The sequence below is a fragment of the Homo sapiens genome, chromosome 9 (genome assembly GCF_000001405.40).
Source record: "Homo sapiens chromosome 9, GRCh38.p14 Primary Assembly".
In the NCBI taxonomy this organism is placed as follows: domain Eukaryota; kingdom Metazoa; phylum Chordata; class Mammalia; order Primates; family Hominidae; genus Homo; species Homo sapiens.
In genome coordinates, this window is record NC_000009.12 from 67,471,550 (window position 1) to 67,496,735 (window position 25,186).

General features: G+C 40.4%; 1 long non-coding RNA gene across 1 annotated transcript in view; it reads right to left on the reverse strand.

Moving 5' to 3' along the window:
- Positions 1-18,753: 18,753 nt before the first annotated feature.
- Positions 18,754-25,186, reverse strand: part of LOC105379452 (uncharacterized) — a 70,033-nt gene continuing 63,600 nt past the window's right edge. The window contains exon 5 of the long non-coding RNA XR_950692.3: positions 18,754-20,986. This is a non-coding gene — a long non-coding RNA (uncharacterized LOC105379452). The remainder of the gene's footprint in view (positions 20,987-25,186) is intronic.

The window sequence follows — 25,186 nt, forward strand, 5'->3', positions numbered from 1 at the left end:
TACCATGCCATGCATTCCAGTTATAATAATTGATTCTTACCCCTGAGTAAACTCAATATACCATAGAAATAAATTTTCTCTAGTGTCTTTTTTTAGGTTGACAACAGAGATGTATAGTAAGATATTTATGAGAAATTGGCTCACGTGCTTATGGAGTTTGAGAAGTCTCACCATCTGCTTTCTGTAAGCTGCAGGCCCAGGAAAACTGATGGTCTGGTTGTAGTCCAGACTCAAAACTCTCATAACCTGGGGAGTCAATGATGTAAGTCTCCATCTGAGTCAGAAGCTGGAGAACCAGTAGCACCAATGTCTGAGGGCAGGAGAAGGTGCAGGTGAGAGCAGGAGCTGGTGTCTCAGCTCAGGGAGAGAGCAGATTTTTCCTTCCTCCATCTTTTTGTTCTCTTCAGGATCTCAACAGATTGGATGGTGCCCACACGTATTGCTGAGGGTGATCTTGACTCAGTCTACCTAAACGTTAATATCTTCCAGGAACACCCTCATAGATGCACCCAAAAATAATGTCCTACTAGTTTATCTGGTCATCCGTTGGCCCAGCCAAGTTGATACATAAAATTAACCATCACAACCTAGCATTCCAACCTCATTCTTTCATCCAGCAATACTATCAAAGGTGATAGACTCTCCTACATCTGTTCCATTCCATTAACCCTAAAACCCCAACAGAAGTCTCCATAACTATGATACTGAGTTAGAAGGCAACAGCCTGTGACTTACTGGGCTGTGTCCTTTGGTGCCAATTTGTGCTGTAACCATATCAAGTCATCTGATGCTCAGAAAGAATGCTTTAGGCATACCTCAACTCAAAGTTCAGTTCTGAACATGGGATAAAGCAAGATGAATTAACATAGATTGTAAGAGCACTTCTTTTGAGAGGCCAAGGCAGGCAGATCACGAGATCAGAAGATCGAGACCATCCTGGCTAACACGGTGAAACCCTGTCTCTACTAAAAACACAAAAAATTAGCTGGGTGTGGTGGCGGGCGCCTGTAGTCCCAGCTACTCAGGAGGCCGAAGCAGGAGAATGGCATGAACCCAGGAGGCGGAGGTTGCAGTGAGCCGAGATCACACCGCTGCACTCCAGCCTGGGCGACAGAGAGAGACTCCGTCTCAAAAAAAAAAAAAGAAAGAAAAGAAAATGAGGCTTTAGCCCCGACATTTATTCTTTTTTTTTTTTTTAATCATACTTTAAGTTTTAGGGTACATGTGCACATTGTGCAGGTTAGTTACATATGTATACATGTGCCATGCTGGTGCGCTGCACCCACTAACCCGTCATCTAGCATTAGGTATATCTCCCGATGCTATCCCTCCCCCCTCCCCCCACCCCACAACAGTCCCCAGAGTGTGATATTCCCCTTCCTGTGTCCATGTGATCTCATTGTTCAATTCCCACCTATGAGTGAGAATATGCGGTGTTTGGTTTTTTGTTCTTGCGATAGTTTACTGAAAATGATGATTTCCAATTTCATCCATGTCCCTACAAAGGACATGAACTCATCATTTTTTATGGCTGCATAGTATTCCATGGTGTATATGTGCCTGAAAGGTCGGGTTACTCTCAAAGGGAAGCCCATCAGACTAGACATTTATTCTTTCATCTCATTTGCTGAGAATGCACGAAGTCCCAGGTCCTGTCCTAGGTGCTGACATCAAACAGTGAACAAGCAAAAGTCCCTGCATCCATGATGTTTCCATTCAAGTGAAGGAGTCAGGCAATAAATAAATAAATATGTACAAAATTGTGACAATTTTATGTATTAACCTGACTGGGCCACAGGATGCTCAGATATCTGGTTAAACATTATTTCTGGCTGTGTCTGTGAGGGTGTTTCCGAAAGAGATTTGTATTTAAATTGGCAGACCGAGTAAAGCAGATGGCCTCCCCAATAGTGAGCGGACATCTTCAAACCCATTCAGGGCTGAAAGTGAACAAAAAGGTCGAGGAAGCCTGAATTCTCTCGCTGCCTGATTGCTTAAGCTCAGACATTGTCCTTCCACTGCCCTCAGACTGGGACTTATCATCCCACACCCCTATTTTTTAGGCCTTTGGACTAGGACTAAACTAAGCCACTGGCTTTCCTGGGTCTCCAGCTTGTAGACAGCAGATTGTGGGACTTAGCCTTCATGAGTTCATGAGCCAATGCCTTGTAATAAATCTCATTTTACACACACATGCACACACACACACACACACACACACACACACATCCTTATTGGTTCATTTTCTCTGGAGAAGCCAAATTTAAAAAATAACATCAGACAGTATTAAGTGGGGACAGAAATCCAAATAAAGTGACAGACAGGTCATCATGTGAAATCTGGAGGGAAAGTATTCCCAGCTGAAGAAACACCAAGTACAAAGGCCCTGAGGTACAGGCAAGAGTGGCATGTCTACTGTTTTGCTACCTTGGTAAAACAAAATAAGAAAAAACAACAAAAACAAAATCACACACACACACACACACACACACACACTACAATAATTTGGAATGGAAGAGAAAATATTAGACACCATGAAGGTAACTTTCTACTCTAGCCAAACCCAAGGCTGTCCAGCTACAATTTACCATACTCTAGAACCATTAAGAGGAGAGAAGAAATTGACTTTTAATACTGGTATCTATTAATTAGTGAGCACCTACCATGTACCACAGCGTGAGGCTATTTACATATACAATTGTATATGTACAATACATACGCATATACAATTAGGTCCTTGCGGCCATCAAGTGCCGTAGGAGTTACAATTTCCATTTCATTCTTGAGAATTCCAGAGCTTGTCCTGTTTCCTAATATCAAATTATATACCCTTTGCTGTTTTCAAGGACATATGCTACAGATACATCCTGGCACAATTTGAATTTGGAATAATTATTGTTTTCCTCTTTTATCTAATCTGAGACTAGGCTAAGTGTGACAGAAAGCCATTTCTCTCATACTGCTATAATGTTTGCTTGTATTATAAGTTTTCTGTGTTTTAGTGATGTATTAGAGTGCTGTTCTACAGGGATAGTCAATAAATCCACACATAGTGTGCCATGTGAATCATCATATTGCTTTTTGAAAATCTGTTCTCAAATAGGAGAAAATATAGATATGTGCTAATAATGGTGCATCAATTATTCATTCTTAAAATACACATTAGCTAGGTTTAAAGTTCTATTCTTATGTATAAAATGTCAGAAAGATTAAGAGCTCAGGTTGCAATTCCTGAGAATAACCTCTATTCTAATTTTCCTACACTAAGAAAAATTTTCTCTTAGTGGTTGTATTAGTTTCCTACTCCTGCTGATAAACTACCACAAACTTAATGCGTTAAACAAAAATGTATTATCTTACATTCTGCAAGTTATCAGACCAAAGTAGGTATCACCAGGCTGCAATGAAAGTGTTGGAGGAGCTGCATTTCTTTCTGGAGACTCCAGGGGAGAATGTTGTCTTCCTGACTTTTCCAGATTCTAGAAGCTGCTCACATTTCTATGGCTCATGGCCCTCTGCCATCTTCAAAGCCAGCAATGGCCAACTGAGTCTTTCTAACGTCAACTCCCCCTGACTCTTCCATTTTTCAGGACCCTAGTGATTACATTGGATGCACCTGGGTAACCAAGCTCATTGACCTATTTTAACATTAGTGATTAGCTACCTTTACTCCACCTGCAACCTTACTTCCCCTTGGCCATGTCAGGTAACATTCATAGATCCCAGGGCTTAAGGGCATGGACATCTTTTGGGGGCCATTATTTTGTCTACCACAGTGATTTTCATTCAAATTTATTCAATTAAATTTTGCTTGTCATCATGGCCTGATTAAACAGAGGTATTTTGATGGACTGCTGTGACTAGAGAGGTGCTATAATCTTCCCCACAAGTTTCCTTTATTTCCGGTATACTCAACAGATTTCCATTGATTCTAAGGTAAAAATGCACAATTTGATTTAATTGCTCAGATTTGAACTGTAGCATGGTAGTCTCTTAAAAAGTTTTTTAAATAGCATAGAATTTGGGAGGGGGTTATGCTTGAAGACTGCAATGTCCATATACTTCAGGGTCTCCGAAGAGAATGACTTCACTGCTCATAAATCAGCATCTTTCTATTGATTTAGTATCACTGTGAGTTTGGTAGAGTTGGGCAGCTTGCTGATAGTTATTTGTTTTCAACTTTGCCGAGTATAACAATTTCTTATCTATTTCAGCGGTTCCCAGCAATGCCTAAAACAGCTTTACAGTTTCTAAGTCATGTTTCAATAAAAACAGTCCCAGGGCCCTGAAGTTATAAACTGATTGTAAAAGACAAGCAGTACATGGAAGCAAGAGGAAACATTAACAACAAAAACAACAGCAACAAAACCTGCGTCCTTTCTCCTCTCAATCTTCTGTTCTTTTCTCCCCTCTATGGCATTGTCTCCTATCAAATGGGCCATTGTTGTGGTGGCAAGGTGACCAACTGGTGGCCTAGAAGGCTTCTCGTCCTTTCAGAACCTTTTCACCTTGTGTAGAACCTGGTTGCCTTGATTATCTATGTAGATCTTTGCACAATTTATGCATTCATGGGCCATCTAGAATTAATGACTGACTAGATGCTTTTGTTTTTGAACAAATGTATTAGTCCTTCCACAGCATCGTGTAGTTGTTTCTGCTCCTTGGAAATGATCATAGGCTACTTTCAAATTCTCACAGATTTTTTTTTATTTGTTGTACAAATTTATGGGGCACATCTGCAATTTTGTTACCTGCATAGATTGTGTAGTGGTCAAGTCAGGGCTTTTAGGGTATCCATCAACCAAAATAATGTACATTGTACCCATCAACTAATTTCTCATCATCCACTCCTCTCATTCCACCCTCAGCATTCCAAGCCTCCATTGTCTGTCATCCCACTCTCTACATCCATCTATACAGGTTATTTAGCTCCCATTTATGGGTGAGAACATGTGATATTTGACTTTCTTCCCCTGGCTTGTTTCACTTAAGATAATGAACTCTAGTTTCATTCCAGTTGCTACAAAAGACACCTCACAGAATTTTGTTTCTTTGTTTGTTTGTTTTGAGATGGAGTCTCTCCCTGTCACCCAAGTTGGAGTGCTGTGGCGTGATCTCGGCTCACTGCAACCTCCACCTCCCAGGTTCAAGTGATTCTCCGCCTCAGCCTCCCAAGTAGCTGGGATTACAAGCATGCACCAACATGCCCAGCTAATTTTTGTATTTTTAGTACAGATTCGGTTTCACCATGTTGGCCAGGAGGGACAGAATTTTAAATGCTTATACATACACATATACCTCTTTATATTTGCCTACACAGAACTAACAAACCTTTGTGAAATGTAACCTACAGGAGATATGATCATATCCAATGCTGGACATGATGCAGATGCAATATACAAATCCATGAGGTAGACCCAGGTATTTCAGATCCTGACCTCGATCTCAGGTTTACTTATTAGACCACAGACCAAAGACTCCCACTGATGTCCCCACAGATTTCACCACCTATTTCTCTTGTCCCACACAGTCTACTCCAAAGTCACCCTCCTCTAGTCCTGTAGGGGATATTCACCTGAGATACTTCAGTGACCCTGCTCACCCTGGAAAATCAGGTGACAGGAATCATCAGTTAAGCCTGTGGACAGTGAGCATCTGTTGGCCTGGATGGTGTGGTGGGTGGAAGGCAGGACCTAATAGGGGCTTTTTATGGTTCCAGCTCCAAACCTCTGATCATGCCAGTCCATGCTGCAGGCTCCCATTCTATTTACGGTCAGGGCCACACGATTTACACTTACTGTCTCAGGTGCTTCTTATAACACTGTCTCCTCCAATTTTTGATAAGCCAATGCTTTTTTGATGGCCCCCCAAATGCCTTTATCCTAGGCATTTTGATGTTCCCCAAAATGCCTAGGATAAAGTAGTACACAGGATATTATTTGACACCTGTTTTAGAATATATGGCATAATTCTGTTTCAACCTTTGCAACTGATATTCACACACACAAGATGAACTGATGAGCGTTTGGCCTCTCTCGAAACTACAGCTTGGACAACTAGGCTCTTCCTATGAGAGACTTTAAAACTCCTCCCGTGGTTAACAGCAGCTATGCTTATTAGGGCCAGAATGACTTATCTTCTTTTGATCACTCAAGCTGGGAGCCTCAGCCTTGTCAGGCAAATTGTAGTAGAGCTGCGGGGCTTCCTCTTTTCATAGTAGAGGTTGGAACCCTGCAATCAATTCAGCAACATTTCTGAGATTTAATTTGCTATGTCTCAAGTGAAATCACTGAATCTATTATTACTACAAAGCATTGTAGTCTAGTCTCGCTTTTCAAATGCATTATAAATGTGAACACGGCCATTTAATTCCCATTCTACTTAATATATAATGGTTCTGACTTTTCACTGTTTAGTAGAAACTGATGTCTGTAGTGGTCTCTTCTACAGAAGAGTCTTCATAGTGACTTTAGTTCTCAGATTTCTGGGAAATGCCATGAAAAGACTTCTGAATATGCCACATTATCTTCTTCCTTGGATTTGATGCATTCTATAAAAGATAATTTTTCATATCCTTATAAAACAAGGATTATATATATTATATTCAAATTCATAGCTTTTAGATGTATTATCCAGCAGAAATATATAAAATAACCACCTCTGTCTATAATCAGAATGGTAGGAGCATAATTGATATTTTCTCTAGGTGAAAAATTTCCTGAGAGCACGCCTTTGGAACACTGGCACTGCTAATGCTGTTTGTAGTGGTCGGTCCTTCCCATTAGCTTGTTTTTCCCCTTAATTTATCTTCTCACTCAACCAATTTACATATTTGCAATCTCTATAAATAACTGAGCAGTAGCAATTTTATCAAATTTTTTAATTTAAAAAAGCTTTCACCTCTGTCAGCTTACTTACACTACTGCAGGCTTTTCTAATTCTTGCCCTGTTTTGTAGAAAAATGCATTTAGGCAAAATACCTTTAATCTTCTGATTAGTCATACATTGAATACGCTCAAAAACAAAAGGTAGTGAGACGAAGCATCCTGAAACAGGGTAATTTTCAAAAGTAGAAGAGAAAGCTGCACTTCCTAGACTTTTGTATTATTAGACTATCTCACAGTCTCACCTCCACACAGCAGTGAACAAACTACATTATTGCTTTTAACAAAGAAATGGACTTCTTAAGAGACTTCCAAGAATTTTTTCCTTTGTTAGTGGAAACTCACAGTCAAAATATGAATTAACTTACTCCATTAAATCAAATGACTTGAGTTAATAGGATGACTGAGTCTAGAGGAAAAACAGAAAAAATAAGCATAACAGTATTATTATTATTATGTTATCAATAATGGGAAAGGATTATTGTCATTCCTGTAGGGTAAAAAATGGCTACATAAATAATAAAGAAGAATTCTTAATTCACGTGAAATTGTAATTAATAATATGCACATGATTTTTCTTTTTAGTATTATTTGCACTGGAAGAAGAAATGGCTATCCCAACAATAAATTCTAATTATATAATTCATCAAAATATCAATGGGATTGTTGTGGTTCATATAGATTTGGATTATAACTTTTAAAAATGTAATGAAGTTACTATGCTTGTACTATGTTTCAGACACTGCGCAATGAATAAAACGTTCCCTCTAAACTCAAGATACATACAGAATTGTGGATTTAATAAGCAGCACAGTGGAATTAAAATATACAAAAGGAAAAGGAACCAACACACATGTGGGAAATCAAGTATTGAAATTTAGTTGATTTTTCTTATCTCTGTACTTTTGTAAACCCGCAACACCTAGCGCAGCATTAAGTCGGCCTTAGGTAGTGAGCTCTCCCTCCCTTATTCCAGATGCCACTCTCTCCAAATGGGGAAAAGCTTTCCACTTACAGAAGGACCAGTCTTGAGTCAGGAGTAGCCATGCACTCCTGTGAGAATCACCAACTAGATGCAAATACGTATTGACTGACTTGGGATGCCATATGAGGTAAGTGAAATTAGATGCCTGTTGTGGAAGCCCAACTCACAATTTTTATTCATGTGGCCCTGAGGAAATCATTAAGCCTCAGTATCTCTTTTTTTTTTTTTTTTTTTTTGAGACGGAGTCTCGCTCTGTCACCCAGGCTGGAGTGCAGTGGTATGATCTCGACTCACTGCAAGCTCCGCCTCCCGGGTTCACGCCATTCTCCTGCCTCAAGCCTCCCGAGTAGCTGGGACTACAGGTGCCCGCCACTATACCCGGCTAATTTCTTTTTGTATTTTAGTAGAGACAGGGTTTCACCGTGTTAGCCAAGATGGTCTTGATCTCCTGACCTCGTGATCCGCCCGCCTGGGCCTCCCAAAGTGCTGGGATTACAGGCGTGAGCCACCACACCCGGCCTTTTAACTTTATTTTAGGTTCAGGGGTACATGTGTAGGTTTGGTATATAGGGTTTGGCATGTCATGGTGTATTGCTGTACAGATTATTTCATCACTCAGGTACTGAGCCTAGTACCCAATAGCTGTTTTTCCTGATTCTCTCCCTCCTCCCACCCTCCACCCTCAAGTATGACCCAGTGTCTGTTCCCCACTATGTGTCCATGTGTTCTCATCATTTAGCTCCCACTTTTAAGTGAGAACATGTGGATTTGGTTTTCTGTTCCTGTGTTACTTTGCTAAGGATAATGGCCTCCAGCCCCATCCATGTACCTGCAAAGAATGTGATCACATTCTTTTTTATGGTTGCATAGTATTCCGTGATGCATATGTACCATGTTTTCTTTATCCAGTCTATCACTGATGGGTATTTAGGTTGATTCCATGTCTTTGCTATTGTGAATAGTGCTGCAAAGAACATATGTGTGCATGGGTCTTTATGATATAATGAATTATATTCACTTTGGTATATACCCAGGAATGGGATTGCTGGGTTAGATGGTTGTTCTGTTTTTAGCCCTTTGAGGTATCACCACACTGCTTTCCACACTGGTTAAAAGAACTTACACTGCCACCAACAGTGTGTAAGTGGCTCTCAGCGTGGCTGTTGTTGGTTTATAAGAATGCTAGTGATTTTTTGTACATTGATTTTGTATCCTGAAACATTGCTGAAGTTGTTTATCAGATTAAGGAGCTTTGTGGCAAAAACTATGGGGTTTTCTAGATACAGAATCATGTCATCTGCAAACAGGGATAGCTTGACCTCCTCTCTTCCTATTGGATACCCTTTATTACTTTATCTTGCCTAATTGCCCGGTCCAGGACTTCCAATACTATGTTGAATAGGAATGGTGAGAGAGGGCATGCTTGTCTTGTACCAGTTTTCAAGGGTAATGCTTCCAGCTTTTGCCCATTCAGTATGATGTTGTCTGTGTGGGTTTGTCATAGATGGCTCTTATTATTTTGAGGTATGTTCCTTCAATACCTAATTTACTGAGAGTTCTTAACATGAAAGGATATTGAATTTTATTTGAAAGCCCTTTCTACATCTATTGAGACAATCATGGTTTTTGTCTTTAGTTCTGTTTATGTGATGAATCACATTTATTGATCTGTGTATGTTGAATCAGCCTTGAATCTCAGGGATAAAGCCTACTCAATTATGGTGGATTAGCTTTTTAATGTGGTGCTGGAATTGGTTTGCTAGTATTTTGTGGATAATTTTTGTATCAAAGTTCATCAAGAATACTGGCCTGAAGTTTTCTTTTTTGTTGTGGCTTTGCCAGGTTTTAGTATCAGCATGATGCTGGCCTCATAGAATGAATTGGAAAGGAGTCCCTCCTCCTCAATTTTTTGGAATAGTTTCAGTAGAAATAATACCAGTTCTCTGTATATCTGGCAGAATTCAGCTATGAATCTGTCTGGTCCCAGGCTGTTTTTGGTTGGTAGGTTATTTATTACTGACTCAGTTTCAAAGTTCATTATTGATCTACTCAGGGATACAATTTCTTCCTGGTTCAGTCTTGGGGAGGATGTATGTGTCAAGAAATGTATCAATTTGTTCTGGATTTTCTAGTTTGTGTGCACAGAGGCAGTCATAGTAGTCTCTGATGGTAATTTGTATTTCTGTGGGGCCAGTGGTAACATCCCCTTTGTTGTTTCTAAATGTGTTTGTTTGGGTCTCTCTCTTTTCTTCTTTATTAGTCTGGCTAGCACTCTATCTATTTTATTTACTTTTTCAAAAAACCAGCTCCTGCCTTCATTGATCTTTTGAATGGTTTTTTTGTGTCCCATTCTTCAGTTCAGCTCTGATTTTGGTTATTTCTTGTCTTCTTCTAGTTTTAGGGTTGGTTTGCTCTTGCTTCTCTAGTTATTTTAGTTGTGATGTTAGGTTGTTAATTTGAGATCTTTCTAACGTTTTGATGTAAGTGTTTAGCGCTATAAATTTCCTTGTTAACACTGCCTTAGCTGTGTCCCAGAGATTCTGGTATGTTGTATCTCAGTTCTTATTAGTTTTAACGAACTTCTTGATTTCTTCCTTAATTTTACTATATACCCAAAAGTCATTCAGGAGCAGGTTGCTTAATTGCCATATAATTGTATGGTTTCGAGTAATTTTCTTAGTCATGAATTCTATTTTTAATGCACTGTGGTCTGAGAGACTGGTTAATATGATTCTGATTCTTTTGCATTTGCTGAGGAGTGTTTTGTGTTCAACTGTGTGGTCAATTTTAGAATACGTGCCATGCGGTGATAAGAATGTATATTCTATTATTCTTGAGTGGAGACTTTTGTGTATGTCTATCAAGTCTATTTGGTTCAGTGTTAGTTCAGGTCCTGAATATCTTTGTCAATTTTCTGCTTCAATGATCTAATACTGTCAGTGGAATGTTTCCTTCTCCCATTATTACTGTGTGGTATTCTAAGTCTCTTTGAACATCTCTGAGAACATGCTTCATGAATATGGATGCTCCTTAGTTGGGTGCATATATGTTTAAGTTAGTTAGATCTTCTTGTTGAATTGAACCATTTACCATTATGTAATGCCCTTTTTTGTCTTTTTTGATCTTTGTTGGTTTAAAGTCTGTTTTGCCTGAAAGTAGGATTTTTACTCCTGCTTTTTCTCTTTTCCATTTGCTTGGTAGATTTTCCTCCATTCCTCTATTTTGAGTCTATAAGTGTCATTGCATGTGAGATGGGTCTCTTGAAGACAGCATACCATTGAGTCTTGCTTCTTTATCCAGCTTGCCACATTGCATCTCTTAATGGGGCATTTAGCCCATTTACATTCAAGTTTAACATTGATATGTGTGAATTTGATTCTGTCATGTCATTAGCTGGTTCTTATGCAGACTTCTTTGTGTGGTTGCTTTATCAAATCACTGGTCTGTGTACTTATGTGTGTTTTTGTAGTGGCTGGTGATGATATTTCCTTTTTGTATTTATTGCCTTTTTCAGGAATTTCTGTAAGGAAGATCTGGTGGTAACAAATTCCCTCATCGTTTGCTTGTCTGAAAAGGATCTTGGTTCTCCTTTGTTTATGAAGCTTAGTTTGGCCAAATATGAAATTCTTGGTTGGAATTTCTTTTCTTTAAGAATGCTGAATATAGTCCCCCAATCTCTTCTGGCTTCTAGAGTTTCTTTTGAGAGATCCCCTGTTATCTCATGGACTTCCCTTTGTAGGTGACCTGTCCTTTCTCCCTAGCTGCCTTTAACACTTTTTCTTTCATTTCAACCTTGGAGAATCTGATGATTATGTGTCTTGGAGATGATCTTCTTTTGAAGTATCTTGCAGTGGTTCTCTGCATTTCCTGAATTTTAATGTTGGCCTCTCTAGCTAGGTTTAGGAAGTTCTCATGGATGATATCCTGGAATATGTTTTCCAAGTCGCTTCCATTTTCCCCATCTCTTTCAGGGATGCCAATGAGTAGTAGATTTGGTCTATTTACATCACCCCATATTTCTCCAGAGGTTTTGTTTGCTTTTTTTTATTCTTTTTTCTTCATTCTTATCTGACTGTCTTATTTCAGAAAGCCAGTCTTTAAGCTCTGCAATTATTTTCTAAGCTTGGTCTATTCTGCCATTAATACTTGTGATTGCATTATGAAATTCTTGTAGTGTGTTTTTCATCTTTATCAAGTTGGTCATCTTCTTCTCTATACTGGCTATTTTGTCTGTCAGCTCCTGTATCAGCTTTTGTGTGTGTGATTCTTATCTTCCTTAGATTGGGTTTCATTGTATTCCTGAATCTTGATGATCTTCATTCATATCCATATCCTGAATCGTATTTCTGTCATTTCAGCTATCTCAGCCTGGTTAAGAACTTTTACTTGAAAACTAGTGTGGTTGTTTGGTGGAATGAAGACACCTTGACTTTTTGAGTTGCCAGAGTTTTTGCACTGGTTCTTTCTCATCTTTGTGGACTGTTGTTCCTTCAGTCTTTGAGGTTGCTGACCTTGGATGGGTTTTCTTTCATTTATCCTATTTGATGACCTTGGGGTTTGATTGTGGTTTAAGGTGAGTTCAGTCAACTGGCTTCATTTCTGGAATATTTTAGAGGGCCAAGGCTCAGCTCAGGACTCCTGGACTGCATATTCTAACTCTGGGGGCTGGGATTAGCCCTGGCTTTGCTCTTTGGCTCCTCAAGGGGAAACTGCTGTTTTTGAGGGTCTGAGGTGCTCCCAGACCACAGGTCACAACACTCCAATAAGTGATACCAGCCAAAGCACTTCATAGGGTGGTGACAGTGGGATCCAGCCTCATTTGCATGTGCCAGCAGCAGTGGCAGTGGCAGTGTGGTGGAGTTTGTGTTCATCAGCTGTGGCAGAGTGCTAGCAGTTGCTGGGATGTTGGCCTCCATGTGGAGCAGTGGTGGCACCATGGCTTGGGGATAGAAGGCCCCTGCCAATAATTGTGTGTGTATCCACACTGGTGGTGGTGTTAGCATGGCAGTAGGGCACTGGTGGACACAGGACTGTATTGCCCTCTGTGCACATTCACACAGGTGGCAGTGCCACTCAGGGCAGGGGTGAGTTTGCTGTTCTCCATGTCCAATTTTGCACTGGCAGCAGTGTTGGCACAGGGGCAGGGTGCTGGTGGAGGGAAGGCTCATAGGCTCCATGCCCACCAATCTCCAGTGACAATAGCAATGTTGCAGTGGGGAGGTGGGAGTGGGCAGAGTGCATTAATGCCAACAGCAGTGGCATGGCCAGGTTTATGTGCACAGGTGCAGTGGTGGGGAAGGGAAGGCAAGGTCTGCCCACACACACACAAACCGGCAAAGCAATGTTTGGGTTGGCCATGGGCTACTGCCTGCAGGCAAAGCAACACAGGAGAGGCTACAGTTGAGGGAGTTTGCAGATGGTGTGTATTCACAGGGATCACTCTGCTAGAGCACTCTGCCAGTTAATTGTAGTCCACCAGCACAGGACCTATGGTTCAATCCCCCAGGAGGTACCTGGGGCCTGCACTGCAAGCAGGCATGGCCAGGATGGGCCCCAGGGAAGGCTAGCAGAACCATGGGGTTCTCAGCTCAGACCAGCCTAGTCTGATGGGCAAGACTGCCCTGCAGAGTTAAGGTCCCACAGATCTCACAGGGCTGAAGTTTCCTATGGGAGCAAGCTGAGCCTCGGGGGATGGGTATCCCTGGTGATGCTCCACTACAGAATTTCCCACACCAAACCCTCTGGGCTCTGCACAGTCTGGGGTTCTGCCACTAATACGTCTCCAAGCTGCTCTCCCTGCCAACTCAAGTGTCCACGGTGCTCAAGGGGTCTCCTCCTGCTGCAATTCCAGAGGCCCATGGTGAGAGCAATTTGCCTATTAAACTCACCCCTTTCGCAAGAGTCACTGGAAGCCAGGAAGGAGTCCTGGTGTGCAGTAGCCCCATGCAGGGTTCCCAACTTCCTCCCCCTTCAGCCCAGCACCTGTGTCTTCCCTCCATCCACTCTCAATACCTTCTCTCTGAAGATCTGCTAGAAGCGTGCCAGTCTTCCCAATGTCCCAGACCCTCAGTGGGAGATGTTCCTCCTGGCTGCGTCTAGTCAGCCATCTTGGAGCAGCTCTGCATTCACCATTTCTGTTCATATCCCATTGCCAGAATCTAGTCACAAGGCTGCACTTAATGATAAAGGATGTGGGAAATGCAATCTTTAACTGGGTGGCTCTATGCCTACTTAAAACTTAGAGGTTCCATGACCAAAGGAAACAGAAGAGGGTGAACACTGGTCTATAACAAGCAATCGGTCACATCTACTTTTCACACAGTGCTGTGCATATGCAGATATGAGTAAGGATGGGGGTTATTAAGCACTTGTATTTCACCAATGCACAGCTCTGACTTCTTTCTAGTTCCTATCTTGGGACCCCGGCAGGCGTTATTTCTCTGGGAACTCTTTTGCCATTTCTGCTTTGTTGGTGGTCTCCTGCAGTGCCACTGCCTCTGTGAGGTCAGCTTCATGATGGGCTCATGAGATGATGCTTACAGTCATTCCATGATCCACACTAGCAAGTTCACCAGCTAATCAGTGACTCTTAGTTTTGCATCTTTCAATGTGTATCACTGCAGGACTGTCTTTCATCAAGTTCTTAATTCTATTTATCTTTTTTTTTTACTCAAGCAAAACATAATAAAAGAGCAAAGCCATTTACTGTTAAATGATAGAAAGCTACCTTGTGCCATCAATCAGACTTAGATCCTGTTTCTTTGGCCAGGAGCCAAGGCATAACAATTATAGTTTATTTTTTAAAGTCATCGTTATAAGGTGCATCTGTTGCCCATGATATCCAGTGATAAGGCACTCATAAATCTTGAAAGGCATTGGGGAGGCAAACTCAGCATGTGCCTTCTCATAACTGATGTGAAGGTAATTACTTTCAGTGAGATGTGTTTGTGAGCCTGTGAGCTCAAGAGATTATCTTTCTTCTGAAACCAAGAAGAATGGCAACACTTGATTCTAGAGTTCCTTTTATAACGAATGAAGCATAGCTGATGAGAATGTATTCAGACGTAAAAAAAGCCACGATAAGCAAACCATGACATCCTAATGGTCCAAAATGCCTATTTAAAACACTTGGCACTGACATCTTTCTACCTGTAACAGCTTTCCATGAGTCATTCAAAATTCCCAGGCTGGCACCTTAGTCCTGTCTTTCTGATCAGGAAAATAACCCTAGTCCTCAAGGAAAAACTAAATTGGTTAAGTGTTTGTTTGTTTGTTTGTTCGTTCGTTTTTAGACGGAGTCTCGCTCTGTTGCGGAGGCTGGAGTGCAGTGGCACAATCTCGGCTCACTGCAAGCTCCGCCTCCCGGGTTCACGCCATTCTCCTGCCTCAGCCTCCCGAGTAGCTGGGACTACAGGCGCCCACCACCATGCCCAGCTAATTTTTTGTATTTTTAGTACAGATGGGGTTTCACTGTGTTAGCCAGGATGGTTTCGATCTCCTGACCTCGTGATCTACCCACCTCGGCCTCCCAAAGTGCTGGGATTACAATCGTGAGCCACCGCACCCGGCCCTAAATTGGTAAAGTATTTTACCAAAGATTAGGAACATGGGTGTTTCGTTTTGCTAAAATCTATCCAAGATTAATTATTTCCCTCTCATGCCATCTTAAAGAACCAGAAAAAATTGGAAATGGCAACAAGCCTTCTCCTTCTCGCTGTCTTAAATCCACCCATTAGATGATTTGAGCACTCCATCTTCACTAGCAAGCATTTAGAAATGAATAGTATTATTGCAGCCTTCCATGCTGCAGCAAGAGTAACAGGAGACAAGCTAAAGCAGTGAAGCAACCATCATAGTCAGGGACTATAGCTCTGCTCGCTGTCTACCAGCAGAACCCCAGCATCTGATGGTCCCTTTCTTGTCTCCATTCAGAAGAAAGAGAGCAGCAGGTCACAAGTGCAGACATGCAGGCAAGGTAGGACAGTATGAAGCTAATAATCACTGTAGCTCATCTCTACTGATACGTGTCTTTTTGACTTAGGTAATAAATTATCCAGTTTAAGTGATAAGTGGTTGGGATTGCTAATCGATAATTTTTTTGTTTTTTCAGCTGACACATGGGTGGAAAATGATGATAAATAAACCCCCAGGGTTCGAGGGGAACAGCCAATCATTATTAAAGCTTGGACCTAATCTCAGATGCTAGGCCACAAATCTGAAGCAAATACCAACAGCAGAGTTATTATGGTCAAAGAAATATTTTTATCTCCAGCATTCAAGGCGCTCTTAGGACTGGTGAATTTTGTTTGCTGAAAGACCTCTTCCCACCAAAAGCAGTCGCCAAACTGAAACTCACAAAAATAGTCTTGCACATGCCACACCAGTATCAGAGGCAACATCTTCCTTTACATACTCAGGATCATAAATGGCATTTATAAAAACATATATGAATGTAAGAAAACATACATGTTATGAATATCCCTGTTAACAAATGTAGCTCAGTGGATCGGAAAACATTGGTTCCATTTTCACAGAATCCAGATAAAGTCACACAAAATGTTCAATGGCCCATCTCTTCATCATCTTTTTGCTTTATAATGTGTTTTAGTTTGGTTTAATTCTGCTTGACAATGAGGATTCATTCTCATTCTCATCTGTGCGCTTGTGCCTGTCATACAGTCTAGAGAGCCAGTGCCTGCCTTTCCCAGAGTTCCCTTCCTCTAGGGTTCTCAGTGCAACCTGACATCTCTCGATGTCAACGAGATAGACTTGCCTGAGATGTAAAAGCACACACAACACTATTCTCCCTCCTCCCACAGCAAGGAACAGAATTGCTGTCTTCAGCAGCCTCTGGGTATTGCCTGTGTCGCCTGTCTCCGCAGTTCTGATGCAAGGTAGCTGGAGTCCACTGTGATTCCCTGCAATATTCTCTCCTGGGCAGCAGCAGCAGCTTCTTGGACCACAGTAACAGTGGCCACCCTGAACAAGAGTGGCAGCCTTCCCTAGCTTTCCCACTCCAGTCCTATCAATAAACACATAACCACAAATATAATCCCTTTCTGCTTGAAATATTTAGAATGCTTTCTATTTTCTGGGCAAACCTGACTAGTATATGATATACCGTCTACTCCCATGACTCAGAAAATGAGCAAGAGAACATTAATGTTTTGTTTTTTAAATCCTCATTTTTAAAAAAGCACAAAGTTAATACCCACTGAAGATGAGTTAATACACACAGTGTTCTTTACACAGAATAATACATGTGCTTTGAATCATCCACTAAAGTTCACATTTTTAAGATGTGAAACCTTGCAATATATATAACACAAATCAGAATCACTGCTGCCCTATTTTAACTCTATTCGTAACATTTATTTTGTGCTTTTTAAACTTCTGACATTTAAAATGTAGTTAATACCGTAAACCCACATGAGTGAGAAAGGAGATTGGGGTTTCCTCATCTGAAAACTTAGTACTTCAGCTCAGTGGTCCTTAGCCTTGGTATATAATATTTCCCTTGGCTGCTTTAAAAAAATGTAGGGGTGGCCAGGCGCAGTGGCTCACACCTGTAATACCAGCACTTTGGGAGGCTGAGGCGAGGGGATTGCCTGAAGTCAGAGTTTGAGACGAGTCTGGCCAACACGGTGAAATCCCGTCTCTACTGAAAATACAAAAATTAGCCGGTCGTGGTGGCAGGCACCTGTAATCCCACCTGCTCTGGAGGCCGAGACAGGAGAATCACTTGAACCCGGGACGTGGGCGTTGCAGTGAGCTGAGATCGCGCCACTGCACTCCAGCCTGGGCAACAGAGTAAGTGTCCATCTAAAAAAAAAAATGTAGGGATGATTTTAACCCAAGAACAATTAAATCAATCACTGGGGATAATAGGTTGGCCGTTATAAAGGCAGCCCAGGTGTTACTAATGCATTGCCGAGACTGGGAACCACCGCTAACACCAGGGCATCTGCAAAGGACCTTGCCTACCTGGAGACCAGAGGACTTGGACTAAGTGATATCCGCTCCTACCTATCACGTCTACAGTTTTATGGCATATCACTAGCTGCTCTCTTCTAAGGCTACGTAAGATGAAGGGAATAATGAGCATGTTTGCAACTGAGCCAATGTATTGCCAGCTCTAGAAGAAGAGTATCGAGTGAAAACTTTTTTTTTTTAAGACGGAGTCTCGCTCTGTCGCCAGGCTGGAGTGCAGTGGCGTAATCTCAGCTTACTGCAAACTCTGCCTCCTGGGTTCAAGCAATTCTTCTGCCTCAGCCTCCAGAGTAGCTGGGATTACAGGCCCACGTCACCACCCCCCACTAATTTTTGTATTTTTAATAGAGATGGGGTTTTGTCATATTGGCCAGGCTGGTCTCGAATTCCTGACCTTAAGTGATCTGCCCCCGTCAGCCTCCCAAAATGTTGGGATTACAGGTGTGAGCCACTGCGCCAGGCCAACTTTTTTTTTTTTAACGCCAAAGAAAATATACGCAGGCAACCAAAAACATTGGACTAGAGTTAATGTTAAGCTTAGGATGTCTGCCTTCTGGAAGACTCGCCAGTTAATAATATGCTGTTAGAGAGCCTTAAAATGAGCCTTTTCAAGAGGTTTGGCATAGTTATGATATGAGCCAACTTAGAAATTGTTTAAGACAAAAGGTCATCAAGTGGGACTATCAGAACTGAATTTACAACAGAATTAACTTTTTTTCACTGAGGTTACCTCCGGTTATCCCCCAAAAATGTGACTTTATAAATACATGTGGGTGTTCTAGCTCTGAAAATTATTACTAGACAGCTCTGTTTTGTATTATTAATCTTTTGTTAACTCTAAAACTTACCTGTTTGTTACTCAACAGACAAAATAAATATACACTGCCAATGGGGTAGTTTGTAGTGACCCAAAAGGATTTATTGATCTCTGATATGTTTGTTCTATAAGTGTTTCAAGTTTATATACTGATGGTATACAGCATACTAACTTCATTTTAAAGACCAGAAAATATGTTCAGACTGTAGGTAAAATTTTCCATAAAATTGTACCTTTAAAGACATTGATAAGTAAGCATTGGTAAAATTACAGGTAAGTGAAATTAAAATTATGAACCTACTTAGGCACTGCTTGTGTTTTTATCTGTCATCCTAAAGTACGTAAAAAATCACCCTCCAAAAATCCAATAAACATTTAAGTATAATTATTGAAACAAAAGTTTTCTTTTTGTTTAACTAGAAAGTAATAGGGGCACACTGAATCAACTCGGTTTTTTTTATTTTATTTTTCTCTATTGTGTTGCTCTTTTCAAAGTCATTCATTTCTGATCTTAATTATTGCATTCCTTTTTCTTTGCTATGGTATTTTATTTGTTCCTTCCCGCCCCCCCTCCGCCCCCCACCAGGTCTTTACTGTAAAACTATACCATTAACTTGAGGACTTTCTTCTTGTCAAGTATAAACATTTAATGATATAAATTTCCCCCTATGCACTGCTTTACCTGCATCTCCCAAATTCTTGTATTTGATGTTTCATTTTCATTCAAAATATATTTTAATTTCCCTTGTGACTTTCTTTTTTGCCTATGGGTTGTACAGAAGTGAGTCATTTCATTTCCAAATATTTGGAGGATTTTTCAGACATCTTTCTGCTATTAATTTCCAGTTTGATTCCACTATAGTAACAGAACATTCTTCATATGATTTCAACCCTTTTAAATTTGTTGAGGTTTGTTTTATGTCCCAGTATCTTGGTAAATGTCCCATGAGCCCTTGAAAAGAATGTGTATTCTGCTATTGCTGAATAGAGCATTCAATAAATACCAAATTTGTCAAGTTGCTTAACAATGTAGTTCTAGTCTACATATTTTACTGATTTTCTGTGCATCTGTTCTATTACTGAGAGAGGAATGCTGCAGTCTCTAAGTGTAGGTTTGTCTATTTTTTCTTTCTGTTCTATCAGTTTTGCTTTATGCATTTTAAAGCTCTGTTGTTAGGTGCATACACGTTTAGTCTTTTTCTTCTTGATGAATTGGCCCTTTTACACTATATGTGGTGGCTTTTTATTTCTGAAGATATTCTTTGTTCTGGAATTTCCTGTTATCTAATACTAATAGAGCAACTGTTTGCATGGCATATATGGTATATTTTTCATCCTTTTACTTTTAACCTGTATACTTTTATATTTAATGTGAATTTATTATAGATAGATTATAGTTGATTCTTGCTTTTTTATCTAATTTGATCATCTCTGTGTTTTAGTTGGTATGTTTAGGTCATTTAAATTAAATACAGCTACTGATACAGTTGGATTTTAATGTACTATCTCATATCTTGTTTCTATTTGTTATATTTGTTCTTTGTTCTTTTTCTAACTGATTTTGAATTATTTTTAATGATTCCATTTAATCTCCATTTTTTGTTTTTTTATCATTTATGCTTCTTTTAAAAATATTTTAGTGGTTCCCTAGGTTTATAATATGCACCTTAAAAAATTGTTTTTCGTAGAGACAGAGTCTCACTTTGTTACCCAGGCTGGTCTCAAATTCCTGGCCTCAAGGGATCCTCCTACCTTGGTATCTCAAAGTGCTTGGATTACAGGGATGAGCCACTATGCCTGACCCATGCATCTGTAATTAATGACACCTTACCTATAAATAATAATATACTGCTTCTCATATTGTATCAGTCATGATTCAACTGAGAAACAGAACCAATAAAAGATTTTATGTTTGTGAATATAGGTGTGGAAAAATTTTTATGATATTTGCTATAGGGCCATGATGTTGTTATAACTGTGGGAGCTGCTTAAAGCAATCTCTGCAGGATGTTGTCTTCATGTCTGATGCTGGAGTTTGAAGTCCACAGCACAGACAGGAAGGAGACATGGATGTAGAGGGTAAGACATCAAAGACAAGCTGTATCCCACAGGCAGGAGCCCCAGAAGATGTACTGAAATCCATCAGTTCTTGTTGTTTGTATCTTGATGCTGTCATGGAGCTAAGTACACAAACTTGGCCTAGACGTCAGAGATGCTGAAAGAGTATTCAGGGAAGGTGGAGCTGTTTCAAAGCCAGCCACTGCTCTTAGCCGATGGTATGTGTCAACAGTCAGCAACAGCATGCGTAACCTACAAGACCAAGAATAGATTAACATTACCAGGGAATAGCAACCTTCTGACGGCCTTCAGAGTCATAATAAACTTCCCGAATGCAGGCTTCTTATTTCATTTCTGGTACTGAAGACAGTGCCTAACTTGTAGATAATACTCAGTGACTTGGACACCCTAAAATACATCACATCCTGCATCTAACTAAGTGGTTTTCCATACATCATCTAACTTGTGAGGTAGCCAGTGCAGGTGCACCCATGCTGCTCTTATACAGGAAAGAATGAACAACTCTGAGCAGTTCAGTGATATGTCCAGAACCAGGCAGGCAAGGGGCAGAGCCAAGGCCAGAGTGCAGAACTCATATCTGCTGACTGTTAGGCAAGCAGGGTGATTCTCAAACTCTGTGTACAACAGAATTATCTACAGATCCATCATTTAATTTAATCAAAACCCACATTTCATGGATTTACCCAAGAATTACTGAGTTCAAATCTCTGGAGGTGGAGGCCATGTAATTGTGATATACACCAAAGTTGAGGACCCCTGTGGCAAGACTTTCAGATAAATTGGAAAGATGACTTGGGGCCACATAGTGGACGACTTGGTCTCTGAGATGGTGGCTTTCAGATGTTGGCACATAAGAATGACCTGGGGCCCTCCCACAGTCACCACACTCTGGTTTTCCGGGACAAGCCAGAAATCTGTATCCTAAGAGAAGTGTACCATGTACCACACTCAGTAAACACAGCTCTAAGGAGTTTCTTCCCTTTGGGAAACAGAGGGCTGCTGAATATTTCTTGAGCAAACTTTTTTTTTTGTTCGAGACAGGGTCTCACACTGTCCCCCAGCCTGAAGTACAGTAGTGTGATCACTGCTTACAGCAACCTCAACCTTCCAGGCTCAAGTGATCCTCCCACCTCAGCCTCCCACAGAGCTGGAACTACAGGCATGCACAACCACATCCAGTTATTTTTTTTTTTTTTTTTAGTTTTTGTGGATATGGGGGTCTTGCTATGCTGCCCAGGCTGGTCTCAAACTCCTGGGTTCAAGTGATCCTCCTGCCTCAGCCTCTCAAAGTGCTGGGATTACAGGTGTAAGCCACCACGCCCAACCTATACACATATTTTATATAATGTTTCCATTCTCCAAATATCCAAGCATCTATCATAGAATTTCACAGTGTTAAATGCTTCTAGACATTTTAGTTCTCTCTTAATCTTCATTTGTTTAACCATCAACCAGGTGGGGACACTTTTCATTTTTTTACTGAGGATATAGTCTAGTAATCCAATGGGGAAAAGGGTTCCTCCATAAAAATTATCTTTGTCTCCCTTTGGAGAAAGAGCAAACATTATTATTTTTTAATGCTTTGTTTAAAGTGAATTCAATAATAGTCTTTGTGAAGTCACAGAAAGTACCTTAGAGGCCTCAAAACATTTTGATGATTTCTAAATGTTTTGTTTCTCTCTCTACAGAGAAATCAGATGTTTATACTCACAAAAAACAATCCTATTGTATTGTTTTTGTCCTTGGAGTATTTTTCCTTGGAGAGGACACATGTACACTGTATGGGGAAAGCCTCAGAGGGTACCATCTTGCTTTCTCAAGTTCATTTTTTTTTTTTTTTTGAGTGCAGTGGTGCGATCTTGGCTCACTGCAACCTCCACCTCCCTGGTTCAAGCAATTCTCCTGCCTCAACTTCCTGAGTAGCTGGGATTACAGGCACCCACCACGATGGCTGGCTAATTTTTTTTTTTGTATTTTTAGTAGAGACGGGGTTTCACCATGTTGGCCAGACTGGTCTCAAACACCTGACTTCAGGCCATCTGCCCACCTCGGCCTCCCAAGTACTGGGATTACAGGCATGAGCCACCGTGCCCAGCCTCTGAAGTTCACTTTCTGAGATTCCTAAGGAATTAATAAAATAAAACCCTGGAAAATAGCCTATGTGTGCCTGAGTGTAAGAAGGAATGCACATGCATGTGCATATGGAGACACAGAATTCCACCAACCCTGCCCTGTCACTCGGTGGGCTCTTGTCACTGTCACACACGTTCAAGAGCTAAGCATGATGCATTCAACGAGAATATGATTAGTCTCGTGCATAAGTCTACAACAATAATGAGCAGCAGACAGAATGACAGTAATAGCAGTTCTTAATTCTCCCATTTATAAGAAAGAAGATTGACTAATGAAGCTGTCTGCCAGTGGCTGCATTGTCTGAATTACTATTAGTTTAGAGGGAATTACGTTAAAAATTTTAATAACATGCAGTATAATAATAACAAAGGTTATTCATCACCAAACAAGCATTTTCAGTGCCAATGAAAGGCCCCTCCACAGCGGCTGCACTGGTGAATCCAAACAGCCTTTTTCTGTGTGATTGCTCTGCACGGGGTCTTTGGCAACAATGAAGAAACTGGTTAGAGAGAACTAAGTTTGTAGACTCACATTTTTCAAATATAGTAATGTAAATATATTTTCCAATCACATTCCATAAGAGATGATTCATGAAATCAGACAAAAGTAAATTATCACAGGCAAGAGTAGAGCTTCCTTCCTCAGATTGGTGTTACCATAAAACATCTTTGGAGCCTTCTCTAAACGATACCAGCTTTTAGCTCATAATTTATGCTCTTCTCTGGAGTTTTTCTCTAGAGTGGAAGCCACAAATTTCTTTACTTGTGATTTAAGATATAGTTTCTCAATTAAATGGCAAGCTTCTACTGCCACCAAAAGAAATGGTAATTCAATCTACCTTAAACACTCTCATTTCTAAAAATGCTCTAAAAGCTTTGGGTAAGATTAGCACAGTTCCTGAGGCAAAAGCTTAACTTTGTTTCATACCTGTTTAAAAACTGGTAAAAAGTCGTATAGATATACTCTACAAGAAAAGTATTATGAAGAGACCCAGTGAGGAATGCTCAACAATGGAGTTAAAGGGGAAGATGTGTAGTTGTTTAACCCTCTATCTAAGATGTGGTCTGTAGCATGTTTGGGCTTATGCTGTTTGGTTGCAAACTCAGGCGTTGAAGAAAGAGGCTGTAATTTATTAAAGCCCGATAACCCCAACCCATGATGTATTGGTTTCCTGGGGCTTCACTAACAAAGTACCACAAAATGGGTGGCTTAATAACAAAACTGTATTTCCTCACAATGCTGGATACCAGAAGTTCAAAGTGCCGGAGGGCTGGTTCCTTCTGAAGGCTTTGAGGGAGAATCCACTCCATGCCTCTCCCCCAGCCTTTGGCATTGTTTGGCTTGTAGATGGTTTTTCCTCTATCTCTTCACATTGTATTCCCTCTATATATGTCTGTCTCTGGGCCCAGATTTCCCCTTCTTATGAGGACACAGTCATATTGGATTAGAGATCACTCTGATGACCTCATCTTAACTTGATCATCTGCACAGATCCTATTTCCGAAGAAAGTCATATTTACACATCATGAGGGTTAGGACTTCAAACACTTTGGAGGGCAAAATTCAACACATAACATATGCTGATGATCTTGTAGTTTACAGATGATGCTGTAACCTTCTGTTTATTTTTTTATTGAAAAACACATGACAAAGTTTATCGTCTTAATGATTTTTAAATGTATAGTACAGTAGTCTTAACTACTAATGTATGTTGTTGTGCAGTTACTCTCCAGAACCTTTTCATTTCTTGTAAAACTGAAACTATGTACCTACGAAACAACCCCCTTTTCCCTCTCCACCCAGCAATCACCGATCCACTTTTTGTTTCTAAAAGTTTGACTGATTTAGATACCTCATAGAGGTGGAATCATGCAGTATTTGCCTTTTTTGTGACTGGTTTATTTCACTTAGCATAATGTCTGTCCTCAAGGTTTGTTCATTCATGTTGTCATGTGTTTAAGAATTTCTTTCTTTTTTAAGATTAAATAATTTTCCATTGTATGTTTATACCACATTTTCTTAATCAATGGGCATTTAGGTTCCTTCCACCTTTTGGCTACTGGGAATAATGCTGCAATGAATATGGGTGAGCAAATACCTCTTTCAGATAATATTTTCAATTCTTTAAAATGTATACTCAGAAGTGAACTGCTGAAAGTTATGAAAATTCTCCATCATACTGCTTCCCATAGTGACCACACCATGTTACATTCCTGTTAACAGTACAAAAGGGTTCCAATTTCTTCACAACCTTGTCAATAGTTGTTATTTTCTATTTTCCTGATGGTAGCCATCCTA